This window comes from Homo sapiens, chromosome 2, assembly GCF_000001405.40.
Source record: "Homo sapiens chromosome 2, GRCh38.p14 Primary Assembly".
Taxonomy (NCBI): Eukaryota; Metazoa; Chordata; class Mammalia; order Primates; family Hominidae; genus Homo; species Homo sapiens.
The window spans coordinates 237,826,804-237,844,051 of NC_000002.12; the positions used below are offsets into that span (position 1 = coordinate 237,826,804).

Here is a 17,248-nt window from a genome sequence, read left to right on the forward strand (position 1 = left end):
TGTATTAGGTATTATAACTAATCTAGAGATGATTTAAAGTACACAGAAGGATGTGTGTAGGTTATATGCAAATACTGTGCCATTTTACATAAGGGACTTGAGCATCCTTGGAGTGTCCTAGAACCAGTCCCCCAGGGATACTGAGGGACAACAATTACAGTAATTGATTACTTTGTTTAGATGTAATTTATTCATTTTTGAGCTACAAGAGACTTAACTAACCCAGCCTCTTTAGTTTTTAAGATGATGTGATTAAGGCCCAGAAATCTTAAAACTATATTGCAGGCTCTTAGTCCTCAGTCTAGAAGTGCTGATAGTTGCTGATAACTTTATAATAAACTCTGGGTTAGTAGAAAGGAAACAAAATATTTAACAGTGTTCACATTTTCTCTGAAACATATCAGTACAATAAAGATCATTTCTGTTACATGTTTTTCTCTAAGCAGAAATGAAGAATGTTGAACCCTCACAAAGAGATAAAGGTTATTTGATACATGTTGGTGGCCTCTGCCCTTCAGTATCTGAGGTATACCAGGATTATTTTTTTGAGCTTCATTTTCAAATTTATTAGTTGTTCATATTTGTTGTTTTTTTCTACCTTTCACAAACTTTTATTTCTCTTCTTTTAGGCCGATTTAAGGTCTCATTTCCAAAAATACCAAGTTTCTGAAATTTCAATTTATGATTCTACTAATTACAGGTGTGTTTCCCAACTTTAATCAATGTGCATTATTATGTGTCTGCTGTTTGCCAAAGGTTCTATACCAGATATCAGCCACAGTGGTGATAAAGTCAAGGGTTATTCTCACAGGGTTTCACAGGCCAGGGAAGGGGACATAGGGACAAATAGCTGCAATCTTGAGTTGATACTGTTCTTAACCAGATCTTTTTTTTCATTATACTTTATAACTTGTTAATGGTATACAGGAGAGTTATTGATTTTTGTATACTTTATCTTGCTACATGCCACTTCATAGGGGAAGTAGAGCACATTAGGTAAAAGAACGGCTTCCAGAAATAGATAACATCGGTTCAATTCCCAGCTCTGTCAACAACTTGGTTAATAAATTTAGGCAAGTTACTTAACCTTTCTGTACCTCAGCCTCTTTGTCTATAAAGTGAGGATAATAATACTAACTTCACAGCATTGCTGTGAAACTGTTAGAAGTAAAATATGTGAAACACTAGGAATAAAGCCTGGCACATAGTAGGTGCTCAGAAAATTGTATTTCATTTCACTGTTTCTGATTTCAGTTACTTTTTAGTTGACACTTTTTATATATTTTAGGTAGACAGCTACCTCATTTACATGTAGTCAGTCTGAGTATGTATGTTGCTACTTTCTGTTTTGTGACATTGCCAGATCATTCAAAAGTATTAAATAACAATGGCGATAGCTTAATGGAAATTTTTTTACTGTTTCATTATTAAAAGTGATAGCTGTTTATTTCAGATATAAAATTTTTATCAATTAAGAAAGGATCCTGTTTGTAGTTGGGGTTGCAATTTATTAAAAATGTGTGTCTTAAATGAAGTCATATAATTGTAAGATAATTGTTCAGCTGTAATTATTTAACCTGTTGATATGATGTTAATACATTTCATTAAAGTAGTATTGTAATCCTAGGATTATTACTTGATGTGAAAACTCTTTTAGTATCTTGTTGAATACTTTTTTAAAACTATGTTTTTTTCTTACTTGAAGTATTTTGCATTCTGTGTAGAAATTTAGAAAGTACAATTAAGTGCAAAACTACAAGGAGTTTATAAAAATGTATCCATAGTCCCATCATTTGAAAACAGCCACTCTTCCCGGGATTTGGTATATATCCTTCCATTGACGCTGTCTAGGGCTGATGATTTTATAGGAATAGCTATTGCCCAACTTTCTTGTATATATAATTAAAATTCTGATTAGATTTTCCAACTCTTTGTTTTTGTCTGTATATTTCCCCACTACAAGGTCATAAAGATACACTTTTGCATATTCTGCTAAATATTTAAAATTTTGCCTCTCACATTTAAGCCTTTAAGTTATCTGAAGTTTACGTTTATACATAGGGATTAGTTTTAGGTTTTTAAGTTATGGATAACCAGTTGTCCCCAGACCACTAATCTCTGCAACTCTATCATATATTAGCTTCGCAAATATTTTACATTAGATTTTAATATGAAATTAATAGGAGATAATGTGTAAGAAATACTTTTCTTCTATTTCCCATCTTTAACTTGGTTTTTATTTAGTTATCCTAAATAAATATTCTTCTTAATCCCAAGGTAAGTACAGCAACCTTTTTATTTTTAAAAGCAGTTACTCTTGTGAAAAACGTATTTGCATCAGTAGTTGCAAAATTAAGTTTGATGTAATTTGAAGTCATTAACAACCTTTTGGTTTTCTGCTCTTATGTTTTAGATATGCATCTCTTGCTTTTACAAAAAACAGCGATGCAAAGATAGCTGTGAAAGAAATGAATGGGATAGAAATAAATGGAAAGTCAGTAAATGTGTGGCCTGTTAAAATTCTTGGAGAATATACATCACCACTTTCCTCCAAAAATGGGAATAGAATTAGTTCGAATAATTTAGAGAAAAGCACCAACAAACAAATCCACTCAGAATTCTCCATTTCTAGATTGCCCAGAACTAGGCCACGGCAGCTGGGTTCTGAGCAAGACAGTGAGGTTTTCCCTTCCGACCAGGTTAGTGTTTTTGATAGATCCCTTAAATGGTCTTTGTACGTCATATTGCTGTAAGTAGCTTTGTAGAATAAATAACTTCAATATGCAGTCTTGAAATGGGAATGACAGCATTAATCTGAATTGTTTTCAACCTTGAATCCACCTCAACCTGCTTTTGTACAACTCCAATTGTTCCTGGGGGGAAATCTAGATCTTTGTAGACCAAGCTAACGAAAAACTCGTTTTAACTAGGCTCTTTGCCAGTCTTTCGCCGTCTTTTTATTACTACTCTATAAGTAACTAATTATAATTTCATCTTTATTTTTCTTTCATAGCTAACTTTATCTCATAATTGTTAAAACCGTAAAATGTAGTCATTGTATTTTCATATATTCTCATGTCTCTCTTATGGAGGTAAACACCCTGTGAAAAGTGGTAAAGTTTGCCTTGTTCAGTCTTTTCTCTCCACTGCTCAGCAAATTGCCTGGAGTCCCATAGGCATTCCACAGATTTTAAAAAAAAAATTACGCACAGTAAAATTCAATACTTTTTGGTGCCTATAGCTTTAGACAAATGCATATAGGCAAGTCACCACCACCATAATCAAGATTCAGAACAGTTCCATCACTCCAGAGAATTATCTTGTGCTCTGATCTGTTTCCTATTCTTAAAACTTGACCTTTTTCAGAATGTTATATAAATGAAATTATACTATATAGCCCTGTTAGCCTGGCTTCTTTCCCTGAATGCATTTGAGATTGATCCATGTTGTTGTGTATACTGGTATTTTATTCCTGCTTATGTTGTGTCCATTTTTATTCAGTTTATTTTATTATTGAATTTTGATTTTTTAATATTCTGATTTTAAGTCCTTTACCAGATAGGTGATTTGCAAATAATTTTTCTCACTTCGTGCCTTGTCTTTTCATTCCCTTAACAGTGTCTTTCTCAGAACAGGGATTTTTTTTAGTATTTATGAAGTATAATTTATTAATTTTTTTCATTTATAATGTATGCTTTTAGTGTTGAAGCTAAGAAATCTTAGCATAATCCAAGGTCACAGAGATTTTGAGTTAATTTTTATATATTGTTTCAGGTATTTGTTGAGGTAATTATTGTTTATTTGCATTTGTTTCTGTTTTGCATATGGAATAGTTCCAGCATCATTTGTTAAAAAGATGATCCTATTTCTGTTGAATTACCTTTGCACCTTGGTCAAAAATCAATTGACCATGTTTGTGTGAGTCTATTTTTAGACTGGAACTGTTTCGCTGAACTGTCTCTTTCTACCCATAGTACACTGTCTTCATTACTGTAGCTTCATAGTAAGTTTTGAAATCAGGTGGGATGAGTCCTCTAACTTTATTCTTTTTCAGAGTTATTGTAGCTATTTAGTCTCTTTGCCTTGCTGTATACTTTTATAATTCACCGTCTATCTACAAAAAAAAAAAATCCTACTTGGATTTTTGCTGGGATTATTTTGAATCCATAGATCAGCACAAGAATAAATACTTGTTGAATAAATGTATCTGATTTTTTCCCTTAATAAGATAAAGGGATCTCTTCTAACTGTGTCCTTTATCCAGTCCTTTCCTCATTCCTGGAGTTATCCCATTCCTTTTCTCTACTATTAGCAACTCCGCTTCCACTCACAGACCTTCGCCTGTACTCCAAGTCAGGCACAGCCCTTCCTAATCCTGACAGGATTTTCACTTGACTTTGCATTCCTTTAACTTTACCATCCTTATTTGTCCTTTTTTTTGGGGGGGGGGGGGTTTGTCTTTGTTTTTGTTTGTTTTGTTTTGTTTTGTTTTTTTGAGATGGAGTCTCATTCTGTCGCCCAGGCTGGAGTGCAGTGGCGCAATCTCAGTTCACTGCAACTTCTGCCTCCTGGGTTCAAGCAATTCTCCTGCCTCAGCCTCCTGAGTAGCTGGGATTATAGGAAGCTACTACCTTGCCTGGCTAATTTTTGTGTGTTTTTAGTACACATGGGGTTTCACCATGTTGGCCAGGCTCATCTTGAATTCCTGACCTCAAGTCATCTGCTCACCTCGGCCTCCCAAAATGCTGGTATTACTGGCCTGAGCCACCACACCCAGCCTATCCTATGTTTTTATTGCCAAACTTCTCAATCAAGTAGGTTATATTCAATGTCTGTTTCTTTGCTTCTCTTTTGTCCCGATAATCTGACTTCAGTCTCTAAAATTTTACCTCAACGGCCCTTTTCATAAGGCACTAGTGACCTTTTATTTGTCTTTCCCTCATCTGCCTTCCTCTTTACTACTTTACCTGTTTGACACTGTTCATCCCTTTCTTGAAACTTTTCCTTTCATCTCAGTGACCCTTCATGTGTGGGATTGATTTGTTTGGTACATAGCCTCGATCTACAGCAGGAAGGAAGGAAATAAAGTGCAGTGAAGCTGCGTGGGGCCCTGAGCTGGAGGTTTGGGAACTGTGGCTCTCCCTTTCTTCTCTCGTGTAGCACATGTGGTCTCCTGCCTCTGCTCTCCCTGTGTTCATTCCCCTTATTCCCCTCTCTCTACAGACTGCTTTTCTCTGCTCATGACTGCTTTCTTCCCCCATTTGGCTTTGTTTTGCTTGATTCTAACTCTGTATTTTCAATTCAAGTCCCTGTGATTTGAGTAATTCATTTGCTTCATGTTCTAATTTCAGTCTTTTTTTTTTTTTTTTGAGACAGGATCTCACTCTGTCACCCAGGCTGGGGTGCAGTGGCACAACCACAGCTCACTGTAGCCTTGAAGTCCTGGGCTCAAGCAATCCTCCCACCTCAGCCTCCCAAGTAGCTGGGACTGCAGGTGTGTCATCATGCCCAGCTAATTTTTGTATTTTTCTGTAGAGACCAGGTCGTGCTATGTTGCCCAGGCTGGTCTCAAACTCCTGTCCTCAAGTGATCCTTCCACCTTGGCCTCCCAAAGTGCTGGGATTACAGGTGTGAGCCACCACACCCTGCTAATTCCACATGCTTTAGACAGGAAATTGAATTGATCCAGGCTGTGATTTTGATGTTCATTAGCTCAGGCAGCAACACTCTTGGTCCTGTCAGCTGTGGCAGTGGGCCATGGGGTTGGGAGAGAGACGTTATAAAGAGGGCCGTACAGGCTGTTGGTAGGAGTATGTGGATAGGGAAGCTCCTGTAACCATCTTTGTTAAACTATACTCCAAGTTCTCTTTCCTTTCTGGCAATTTCTTGTTCCCTTGTTCTTTTTCTGATTCTCAACATTATTATTTATTCTATTCATTTAGAAAATATTGATTGTCTACAATGAGAAGCAGAATCGTGGTGATTAATAAAAACTCTTCGATTCATAACCTGGCTCTGCCACTTACTCACCATGTGACTCTGGAAAACTAATCTAACCTTTCCGTTTCTGAGCTTCCTTATCTTAAAATGGAGATGAGAGCCATTACCTCACAAATGTTGATGAGCTTAAATAAGCTTAATACAGAAAAATTTTTAGAACGGTGCCTACCATGGAAGATGTACCCAGAAAATATTAGCTGTTGTTGTTATTACTTACCAATAATTTGGCTTCTTTCTTGGAGAGCACTTAACTTCAACTGTCACTTAAACTATTGTATCCCAAACTTTTTATTTATTAAACAAATAGTTATTACATACCAACTGTGTACACTATTCTAGGCACTGGGAAAGCAACAATGAACAAAAGAGACAAAAATCTGTACTCTTAAGGAGCTAAAATCTAGTGAGGGAGATAAGGCAATAAACAAGCAAGTGAAAGATACAATGTTCTGATGTGAAAGGTCCAGTATATCATGTGTCTTGCCCTGACTTTTCATCGAGGCTTTAAAGTCTGAGTCCTTCCTTTGTTGAACTTTTATGGGATTTACAGTGGTTTTCTACAATTTATAGCCTACTTGCAGTGTTAACAGTAACTAATTGGTCATTTTAATTTTGTCTCTTCGCAATAGAGGGTTCTGTTTTATGTCACTATAGTTTTTCCCCCACAGCATATAGTGCACTTCTGGGCATACAATTTGTATTCATTACATACAGCATATAGTAAATACAATGTAAAATATCTCTAATTACTGTGTAGCCTTTCTTAGGTTGGTTAAGAGAATTAAGCCTTAATGCCCTAAGCCTAAAACATTTATTTAATGAATGAATCTCTCTCCTGTGCATCCAAAATGAAACTAGTTATGTCCTATCTTTGAGAGAATTGAGAAAGTAGTTACATCATTTTCTGTGTTCTATGGTTCAGATGAGGAATCTGGTTGAGAAAGCCTTATTTAGACATAGCCTCCTATAGTTTATCAGTAAGAAAAAATGTTGGGTATGTTTTGTACTACATGGCCCTGAAACACAGCTCAAGTAAATGCAATTGGTATAAACAATCCCAAGTTAAAGTAAATTTTTAAGGAATTTTTATTTTATTATTTTAATTTTCAAATATATTATTGTTGAATAAGCGGTATTATCTTTATGTAATGGTCCTTACTGATTTTAAGAAAACTTTTTAAATGCTTATTTAGGGTGTCAAGAAGAATTGTAAGCAGATTGAATCTGCTAAATTATTACCTGATACACCCGTTCAATTCATACCTCCAAATACATTGAACCTTCGTAGCTTTACCAAGATCATAAAGAGACTGGCTGAACTGCATCCAGAAGTCAGCAGGTAATAACCAAAATTATATTTTAACTGCTTTAAAACTTCTGTGTAAAAATATAGTTCAAGTTAATAACTTAGATATATTCAGAATGTATTCCTTTGGAAAAGACAAATACTCATGTATGTTTTCCTTTTTCATAGAGACCATATTATAAATGCACTTCAGGAAGTGAGAATAAGACATAAAGGTTTTCTGAATGGCTTATCTATTACTACTATTGTGGAGATGACTTCATCTCTTCTGAAAAACTCTGCTTCCAGTTAGGAATTCAAAAAACAATAAAGAGGTAAAGTAATCATATTCTTTTGTATTTGAATATTACTTAAAATTTATAAGCTATTGATTTCATTTTCTTTTTACATAAAAAACATATTAAATTTAAAATAATAATATAATCACAAAATAATATGAAATTTTAAAACAAGCATACTGTAATTAGTTAACTACTAAGGCAAAACTAATTACCCTAAAATTGACTGGCTTAAACAACACTCATAAACTCACAGTTTGCAGATCAGGATTCAGGAGTGACTTAGCCGGGTAGTTTTAGCTCAGGGTTTTTCATGTTGCAGTCAAGATGTTGGCCTGGACTGTAGTCATTCAGAGGCTTCCCTGAGACCAGAGGATCTGCTTCTCAGGGGGCTCATTCACATGTCTGTTGGCAAGAGGCCTCAGTTCCTCACCACATAGGCTCTTCCATAAGGCTCTTCAAATGTCTTTGCATCATGGCAGCTGGCTTCCCCTAAGCAAGAGAGAGAGAGAGCAAGATGGAAGCTGCATTGTCTTGTATTATCTACCCTCAGTAGTCGCAGATACTGCAATTTTTACATACCGAAGGTTTGTGGCAACCCTGCATCAAGCAAGTCTATCAGCGCCATTTTTCCAACAATGTTTACCCACTTTGTGTCTGTGTCACATTTTGGTAATTCATACAACATTTCAAACTTTTTTGTGACGCCTGTATGGTGATTGTGATCAGTGATCTTTGTTACTATTGTAATTATTTTGGGGCACTTTGAACTGCACCCATATAAAACAGCAAATTTTATAAATGTGTGTGTTCTGACGACTCCACTCACTGGCTGTTTCCCCATCTCTTTCCCTCTCTTTGGTCTTCCCTATTCCTTGAGACACTATATTGAAATTAGGCCAACTGATAATCCTACAATGGCCTGTAAGTATTCCAGGGAAAGAAAGAGTCACATTAAATGACTCTTAAAAGAAAGAGCTCACTTTAAGTCGAAAGCTAGAAATGATTAAGCTTAGTGAGGAAGGCATGTCAAAAGCCAAGATAGGCTGAAAACTGGGCCTTTTGTACCAGTTAGCCACGTGGTTCATTGTCGTGAAGCCAATGAGGAAAAGTTATTGATGGGATTACAAGTGCTACTCCAGTGGACAGGAGAATGATAACAAAGTGAAACAACCTTATTGCTGATATGGTGAAAATTTTAGTAGTCTGTGTAGAAGATCATAGCAGCCACAACATTGCCTTAAGCCAAAGCCTAATTCAGAGCAAGGACCTCTTTTCCATTATTTGAAGGTGATGAGAGAGGGGAGGAAGCTGAGGAAGAAAAGTGTGAAGCTAACAGAGGGTTGGTTAGTTCATGAGGTTTAAAGAAATAAGCCATCTTTTTTTTTTTTTCCTGAGATTTTGGTGCACCCATCGCCCAAGCCCTGAGCAGTGTACACTATACCCAACATATAGTCTTCTATCCTTCACCCCACTCCCACCCTTTCCCTCAGTCCCCAAAGTCCAATGTATCATTCTAAGAAGTCGTCTTTCTAACAAAAGTGCAATGTGAAGCAGCAAATGCTGATGTAGAAGCTGTAGCAAGATGCCCAGAAGATCTAAGTTAGATAATTGATGACGGTAGCCACACTAAACAGCAGATTTTCAGTGTAGAAGAAACAGCCATCTACTGAAAGAAGATGCCATCTGGGACTTTCACAGCTTGAGAGGAAAAGTCAATTCCTAGCTTCAAAGGACAGGCACGCTCTCTTGTTAGGGGCTAATGCAGCTGTTGACTTTAAGTTCAAGCTGATGCTCATTTACCGTTCTGAAAATTCAAGGGCCCTTAGGAATTACACTAAATCTACTCTGCCTCCACTCTGTGAATGGAACAACAAAGCCTGGATGACAACACATCTGTTTATAGCATGGAGGTTTTTTGGGTTTTGTTCTTTTTTTAGAGATAGGGTCTTGCTATCACCTAGGCTGGAGTGCAGTGACACAATCATAGCTCACTGCAACCCTAAACTCTTGGACTCAAAAGATCCTCCTGCCTCAGTCTCCTAAGTGCTAGAACTACAGTAGGTGCATGCCACCATACCCTGCTACTTTCTTTTTAAATTTCAACCTTTCAGCCAGGCACAGTGGCTCACGCCTGTAATCCCAGCACTTTGGGAGGCCGAGGCGGGTGGATCACAAGGTCAAGAGATCGAGACCATCCTGGCCAACATGGTGAAACCCCGTCTCTACTAAAAATACAAAAATTAGCTGGGCGTGGTGGCGTGCACCTATAGTCCCAGCTATTCGGGAGGCTGAGGCAAGAGAATCACTTGAACCTGGGAGGCAGAGGTTGCAGTGAGCTGAGATTGCGCCACTGCACTACAGCCTGGCGACAGAGCGAGACTCCGTCTCAAAAAAAAAAAAAAAAAAAATTAAACCTTTTGTAGAGACAGGGTCTCACCTATGTTGCCCAGGCTGGTCTCATATTCCTGGCCTTAAGCAATTCTCCCACTTTAGCCTCCCAAAGTGCTAGGGATTACAGGCATGAGCCACTGAGCCCAGCCTGCAGCATAGTTTACTGAATCCCTGGACTCAAGCAGTCCTCCTGACTCAGCCTCCCTCAGTAGCTGGGATTAGAGGCACATACCACCATGCCAGGATAATTTTGTTTGTTTGTTTGTTTTAGAGGTTGGGTCTTACCATGTTACCCAGGCTGGTTTACTGAATCTTTTAAGCTCACCATTGAGACCTACTACTCAGAAAAAAAATATATTTCTTTCAAAATACTATTGCTCATTGACAATGCACTTAGTCACCAAGAACTCTGATGGAGATGTAGAAGGAAATTAATGGGGTTTTTTTTATGCCTGCTAACACAACATCCATTCTGCAGCCTATGGATCAAGGAGTAATTTTGACTCAAGTCTTAAATATTTAAGAAATACATTTCATAAGGTTATAGCTGTCATAGCTGATTCTCTAATGGATCTGGACAAAGTAAATTGAAAACTTTATGGAAAGGAGTCACCATTCTAGATGCCATTAAGAATATTTATTATTCATGAGAGGAGGTAAAAATATCAATATTCACAAGAGTTTGGAAGAAGTTGAATGCAACTCATGGATGACTTTAAGGGGTTCAAGACTTCAGTGGAGGAAGTAACTGCTGATGCGGTAGACATAGCAAGACAATTCAAATTAGAAGTGGAGCCTGAAGATGTGACTGAATTGCTGCAACCTCATGATAAAATTTGAATAGATGAGAAGTTCCTTATTGTGGATAAGCAAAGAAAGTGCTCTCTTTTTTTATTATTTGTTATTTTTGTAGAGATGGGATCTTGTTATTTTTCCCAGGCTGGTCTCAAACTTCTGGCCTCAAGCAATTCTCCCACTCAGCCTCCCAAAGTGCTGGAATTACAGGTGTGAGCCACTGTGCCCAGCCCAGAAAATGCTTTCTTGAGATGCAGTCTACTACTGGTGAACATGCTGTGAACATTGTTGAAATAACAACAGAGGATTTGGAATAGTACATAAACTTAGGTGACAAAGCAGTGGCAAAGTTTGAGGGTGTTTAAAAAAAAGTTTAAGGAAATTGACTCCAATTTTGAAAGAAGTCCTTCTCTGGGTAAAATGCTATCATACAGAATCTCAAGCTACAGAGAAATCTTTTGTGAATGAAGGAGTCAATTGATGCAGCAAACTTCATTGTTGTCTTATTTTAAGAAGTTGCCACAGCCACTCCAGCCTTCAGCATGACATGAGTACATCAGAGAAAAACTGCTTGAAAAATTAAAGCCTATAAGAACTATAAAGCAGCTGGAGGGAGAAAGTTTACCTTAAGAGTGCAACAGTTAGATTCACAGCTGACTCGCAACAGAAGTCACCAAACAATTCTCCAAGCCCAAAGCTCTAGACCCAGGAAGAGAGCCTTCAAAAATAAATGTAAAATAACTAATTATCTTGCAAATAAAAAAACTAAGATAATTTGTTACTTTAGAAGAAGCCCTACTCTAAAGAAAATACCAGAATGTTCTCTGGGGAAAAAAGTGATTTTAAATGAAAGGTCAGAGGTACAGGAGACATGAAGATCAACGAAGATTAAATATGTGGTAGGTCTCAATCAATATTGACTGTAGAAACAAAAATAATGATGTTTTATAGGTTCTAATATAATTAAAATACATGAAAATACTAATACATAAGTTGAGAGGGGATTAAGTATTCTTACTAAACACCTTGCAGTTTGGGAAGAGAGTAAGATGTTCTGTGTTGGGGGTACTCAAGACCACCCCAAGCTTCATTATATGCTAGGAGGACTCACATTACTCAGTATATAGATGTATTCATGGCTATGATTTATTACAGCAACAAAATATGAAGCAAAATCAGCAAAGGGAAAAGGTACATAAGGTAAAGTCTGGAGGAAACAGGGTTCCAAAAGTCCTTTTCCAGTGGAATCACACAAGATGTGCTTAATTTCAATGAATTGTGACACCTATAAAATGTTGTCTACCAGGGAAGCTCATTAAAGACTCAGTGCCCAAGGATTTTACTGGGGGATGGTCATGTAGTTGCCCTCTGCCTAGCACATACTGTAGCTCCAGGCTGTCAGGGAGCAGCAATTCAACATAAACCACATTGTTTGTATAGCAGTTTTAGTATAGTGAGGCACTCATCATTTCTGGAAATGGTGGGAACCCCCACCCCAAAATCACAAGTTCCTAGTTACCAGCCAGGGGCCAACCTTGCAAGCAGGTCTTTCTAAGGATGGCAGTCTTAGGCCTGCTACTTTAACCCTTTTTCTACATATGTGCCAGTTGATATCAGAACAACGAATCCATGTTGTAAATCTGGGGGCAACTACTAAAAGAACAATTTTCTTTTTTTGGGTGTGGGGAGGGGTTGGTTTGTTTTTGTTTTTTGTTTTGAGACGGAGTCACTCAGTCGCCCAGGCTGGAGTACAATGGCGCGATCTCAGCTCACTGCAACCTCCACCTCCCAGATTCAAGCGATTCTGCCTCAGCCTCCCAAGTAGCTGAGACTACAGTCACGCGCCAACACGTCCATCTAATTTTTGTGTTTTTAGTAGAGACGGGGTTTCACCATGTTGGCCAGGATGGTCTCGATCTCTTGACCTTGTGATCCGCCCGCCTTGGCCTCCCAAAGTGCTAGGATTACAGGCATGAGCCACTGCGCCCGGCCCCTAAAAGAACAATTTTCAAAAGCATGCAGAAAGTGAAGTTGGACCTTTACCTTACACCATATCCAAAAATCAACTAAAATGAATCAACAACTTAAACATAAGAGTTAAAATTATAAAACTCTTAGAAGAAAACGGTGGAAAACTTTTGCAGTATTGGATTTAGCACTGATTTGGATATGACAACAAAAGCATGGACAACAAAAGAAGATACATATATTAGACTTCATCAAAATCAAGAACTTGAACATCAAAGGACACTATCAAAAGAGTGAAAAGGCAGCCCATAGAATGAGAAAATATTTATAAATCATATATCTGATAAGGGGTTAATACCCAGAATAGGCTGGGGAGGGGGTGGCTCACGCCAGTAATCCCAACACTTTGGGAGGAAGGCAAATCGCTTGATGCCAGGAATCCAAAACCAGCCTGGGCAACATGGTGAAACCCCATCTCCACAAAAAATACGAAAATTAGCCGAGCATGATAGCACATACCTATAGTCCTAGCTACTCAGGAGGCTGAAGTGAAGGATCCCTTGAGCCTGGGAGGCAGAAGTTTCAGTGAGCTGAGATTACACCGCTGCACTCCAGTCTGGGTGATAGAGCAAGACTCTATCTCAAAAAAAAAAAAAAAAAAAAAAAGGGCACACGGCACATAGACCAATGGAACAGAATAGAAACCTCAGAAAATAATGCACACTTGTAACAATCTGATCTTCAACGAAGTCAACAAAAACAAGCAATGGAGAAAGGACTCCCTATTCAATAAATGGTGCTGGGATAACTGGTTAGCCATATGCAGAAGACTGAAACTAGACCCCTTCCTTATACCATATACAAAAGTCAACTCAACATGGATTAAAGACTTAAGTGTACAGCCTAAAACTTATAAAAACCCTTGAAGAAAACCTAAGAATTACCATTCTGGACAGTAGGACAATTACATTCTGGCCAAGATTTCATGATGAAGATGCCAAAAGCAATTACAACAAAAAAATTGACAAATGGGACCTAATTAAACTAAAGAGCTTGTGCACAGCAAAAGAAACTATCAACAGAGTAAACAGATAACCCACAGAATATGAGAAAATATTTGCAAACTATGTATCTGACAAAGGTCTAATATGCAGAATCTGTAAGGAACTTAAATTAACAAGAAAAAAATAACCCCATTAAAAAATGGGTGAAGGACATGAACAGACATTTGTCTCAAAAGAATACATTCACGTGGCCAACAAGCATATGAAAAAATGCTCAGTATCACTAATCATTGGAGAAATGCAAGTCAAAACCACAAGATACCATCTTATACCACCCAGAATGGCTATTACTAAATAAAGTCAAAAAATAACAGATGCTAACAAGGTTGTAGAGAAAAGGGAATGCCTATGCACTGTTGGTGGGAATGTAAATTAGTTCAGTCATTGTGGAAAGCAGTTTGGTGATTTCTCAAAGAACTTAAAACAGAACTACCATTCGGGCCAGCAATCCCATTGTTGAGTATATGCCCAAAGGAATGTAAATCATTGTACCATAAAGACACATGCATGTGCATATTTATCACAGCACTATTCACAATAGCAGAGACATGAAATCAACCTAAATGCCCATCCGTGGTAGACTGGATAAAGATAAGTGTATATATACACCATGGAGTACTATGCAGCCATAAAAAAGAATGAGATGATGTGCTTTGCAGCAGTATGGATGGAGCTAGAGGCCGTTATCCTAAGCAAACTAATGCAGGAACAGAAAACCAAATACCACGTGATCTTACTTATAAATGGCAGCTAAACTTTGAGTACACATGGACAAAGAAGGGAACAGCAGACACTGCAGCCTACTTAATGTTAGACGGTAGGAGGAGGGTGAGGATCAAAACACTACCTATCTGGTACCACGCTTATTACCTGGATGATGAAATAATCTATACACTAAACCCTGCAACATGTAATTTATCTATATCGATATAACGAACCTGCACATATGCCCCTGAAACTAAAACAGAAGTTTAAAATAAAATATCTGATTTTTCTTTATTAAAATGAAATAAAATGAGAGGCATGTGAAAGAAATATGAGTTAAAATGATTGCTAGATACAAAGACAAGACACAAAAATTAATTGCAATTCTCACTATCCATGATGTAAGAAAAATGAAATTTGTTAAAAGATATTCTAGTACCATTAGAAACAATCAAGTGTCTAGGAATGTACTTAACAAAAGATACTCAACAATCATTGTTGATTTCTCCTTTCTTTTGATTCTAGAACTTCCTTGGAAAGTGTGTTTCCTCCTTCAGAGAATGTTCTACAGCACTTAGGAAAAAGTAGTAATAACAAGATGATGTAATTAAATAGGCTCTATAAATGGGCTAAGCTGTTAAAATATTCTACTTTATATCCCTCCTTTAAAATCTAGCAACAGTTGTCTATACAATATTAAGATCTTCTCTATATATTTAAAGTTAAAATATAATTTTTAATAAGTTTTTAAATTTTTTTATTTCAATTTTGTTACTTAGAACATTAAGATGCATATTTGTGATCTAAAGAAATTGTCTTGTCCATTTTAAAAACCTTTATTAAGTCACTTTTAAAATGTATTGACCAAGAAGGAGGTTTGTTGTTACATCAATGTTTGTGAAATGATTTCCATACATAAAAAATGTAATTTACCTGAACTTTGTCTTAAGACTCTTACATTGGATTATAGGATAACAGATAAATAAACTGTATAGATACATTCAGTATCATACAACATTTTGGAATGTGTATGCTTTCAGGCTTCCAAGATAATTAAATTACTGTCATGATACATTTCATGCATTTTTTATGACTTCAGTATAAAACATTCAGGTGTGTTAGCCTTCCCTGGGAAGGGTAAACTTGTATGTGCTTTGGTAAAGTACTTAAATTCCAATGTTCCCTATAGTGCTTGCATTCATTTTGTGAAAAGTTTTGTTGTATTGTTAGAACAATTTTCAAAGGCTGATTTTATGCCTTATCTGATAGAAATATAGAATAGATAGTTCTTTAATTGCTTACTTTTTAAAAGTAATATAATATTTAAGTTGCATTTTTATTAATAGTAAGATTAACATTTAAGTCTGCATTTTCTTTAAATGTTTTAAATGTTTATAGCATTCAATGTGTAGTTGGATTTACTTGACTAAAAATTAGCCCTTTAACGTTTATATTTGTTGTATTTATATTTAATAAAGGCATCTAATCTTTAGTACCACTGTGAATTTAATGCTTTCTTCAGGTTCAGTGGCATTTTCTTTTTTGTTTTTCCAGAATAACAAATATTCTTTATTTATTTTATTTATTTTAATTGCCAGATAGTAGTTGTACATATTCATGGGGCACGTAGTAATGTTTTCATATACATAATGCATTTTAATCAAATCAGAGTAGTTAGCATATTTATCATCTCAAACATTTATCATTTGTTTGTCTTGGGAACATTCAATATCCCACTTGTAGCTATGTGAAATTATATATTATTGTTAACTATAGCCATCCTATAGTGGTACAGAAAGCTAGAACTCATTCCTCCTATGTAGCTGTGATTTTGTATCCTTAAACAAATCTCTCCCTATCTTCCCCTTCCCAGTCTTTAGTATCCTTTGTTCTACCTTTTATTTCTATGATATCAACTTTTCTTTAGCTTCCACATGAGTAAGAACATACAGTGTTTAACTTTCTGTTCCTGGCTTATTTCACTTAACATAATGTCTGCTAGTTCCATCCATTGCCACAAATGACAGGATTCATTCTTTTTTATGGCCGAATAGTATTCCACTGTGTATATATATCACATTTTATTTATCCATTCATCTTTGTTGGACACTTAGTTTAACTTCATATCTTGCCTGTTGTGAATAGTGCCATACCACTCTTTTTTTTTATACTTTAAGTTCTAGGGTACGTGTGCACAACATGCAGGTTTCTTACATATGTATACATGTGCCATGTTGGTGTGCTGCACCTGTTAACTCATCATTTACATTAGGTATATCTCTTAATGCTATCCTTCTCCCCTCCCCCTACCCCACGACTGGCCCCGGTGTGTGATGTTCCCCACCCTGTGTCCAAGTGTTCTCATTGTTCAGTTCCCACCTATGAGTGAGAACATGCAGTGTTTGGTTTTCTGTCCTTGCAATAGTTTGCTCAGAATTATGGTTTCCAGCTTCATCCGTGTCCCTACAAAGGACACGAACTCATCCTTTTTTATGGCTGCATAGTATTCCATGGTGTATATGTGCCACATTTTCCTAATCCAGTCTATCATTGATGGACATTTGGGTTGGTTCCAAGCCTTTGCTATTGTGAATAGTGCCACAATAAACATACATGTGCATATGTCTTTATAGCAGCATGATTTATAATCCTTTGGGTATATGCCCAGTAATGGGATGGCTGGGTCAAATGGTATTTCTAGTTCTAGATCCTTGAGGAATCGTCACATTGTCTTCCAC

General features: G+C 36.8%; 1 protein-coding gene across 8 annotated transcripts in view; it reads left to right on the top strand.

The window, feature by feature from the left end:
• Positions 1-16,002, top strand: part of RBM44 (RNA binding motif protein 44) — a 44,027-nt gene extending 28,025 nt beyond the window's left edge. For 4 of the 8 annotated variants that reach the window (XM_017004055.2, XM_017004054.2, XM_017004056.2 and 1 more), the window contains 6 exons: positions 444-526; positions 630-700; positions 2,414-2,699; positions 7,194-7,339; positions 7,475-7,620; positions 15,036-16,002. In XM_017004055.2, coding sequence (XP_016859544.1) covers positions 444-526; positions 630-700; positions 2,414-2,699; positions 7,194-7,339; positions 7,475-7,598 — 710 coding nt within the window. In that variant the 3' untranslated portion in view covers positions 7,599-7,620; positions 15,036-16,002. Of the gene's footprint in view, positions 1-443; positions 527-629; positions 701-2,413; positions 2,700-7,193; positions 7,340-7,474; positions 7,621-15,035 lie in introns of those variants that run through there. The other 4 variants (NM_001080504.3, XM_005246075.2, XM_011511155.2 and 1 more) reach the window with 2 other exon arrangements.
• Positions 16,003-17,248: the final 1,246 nt, after the last annotated feature.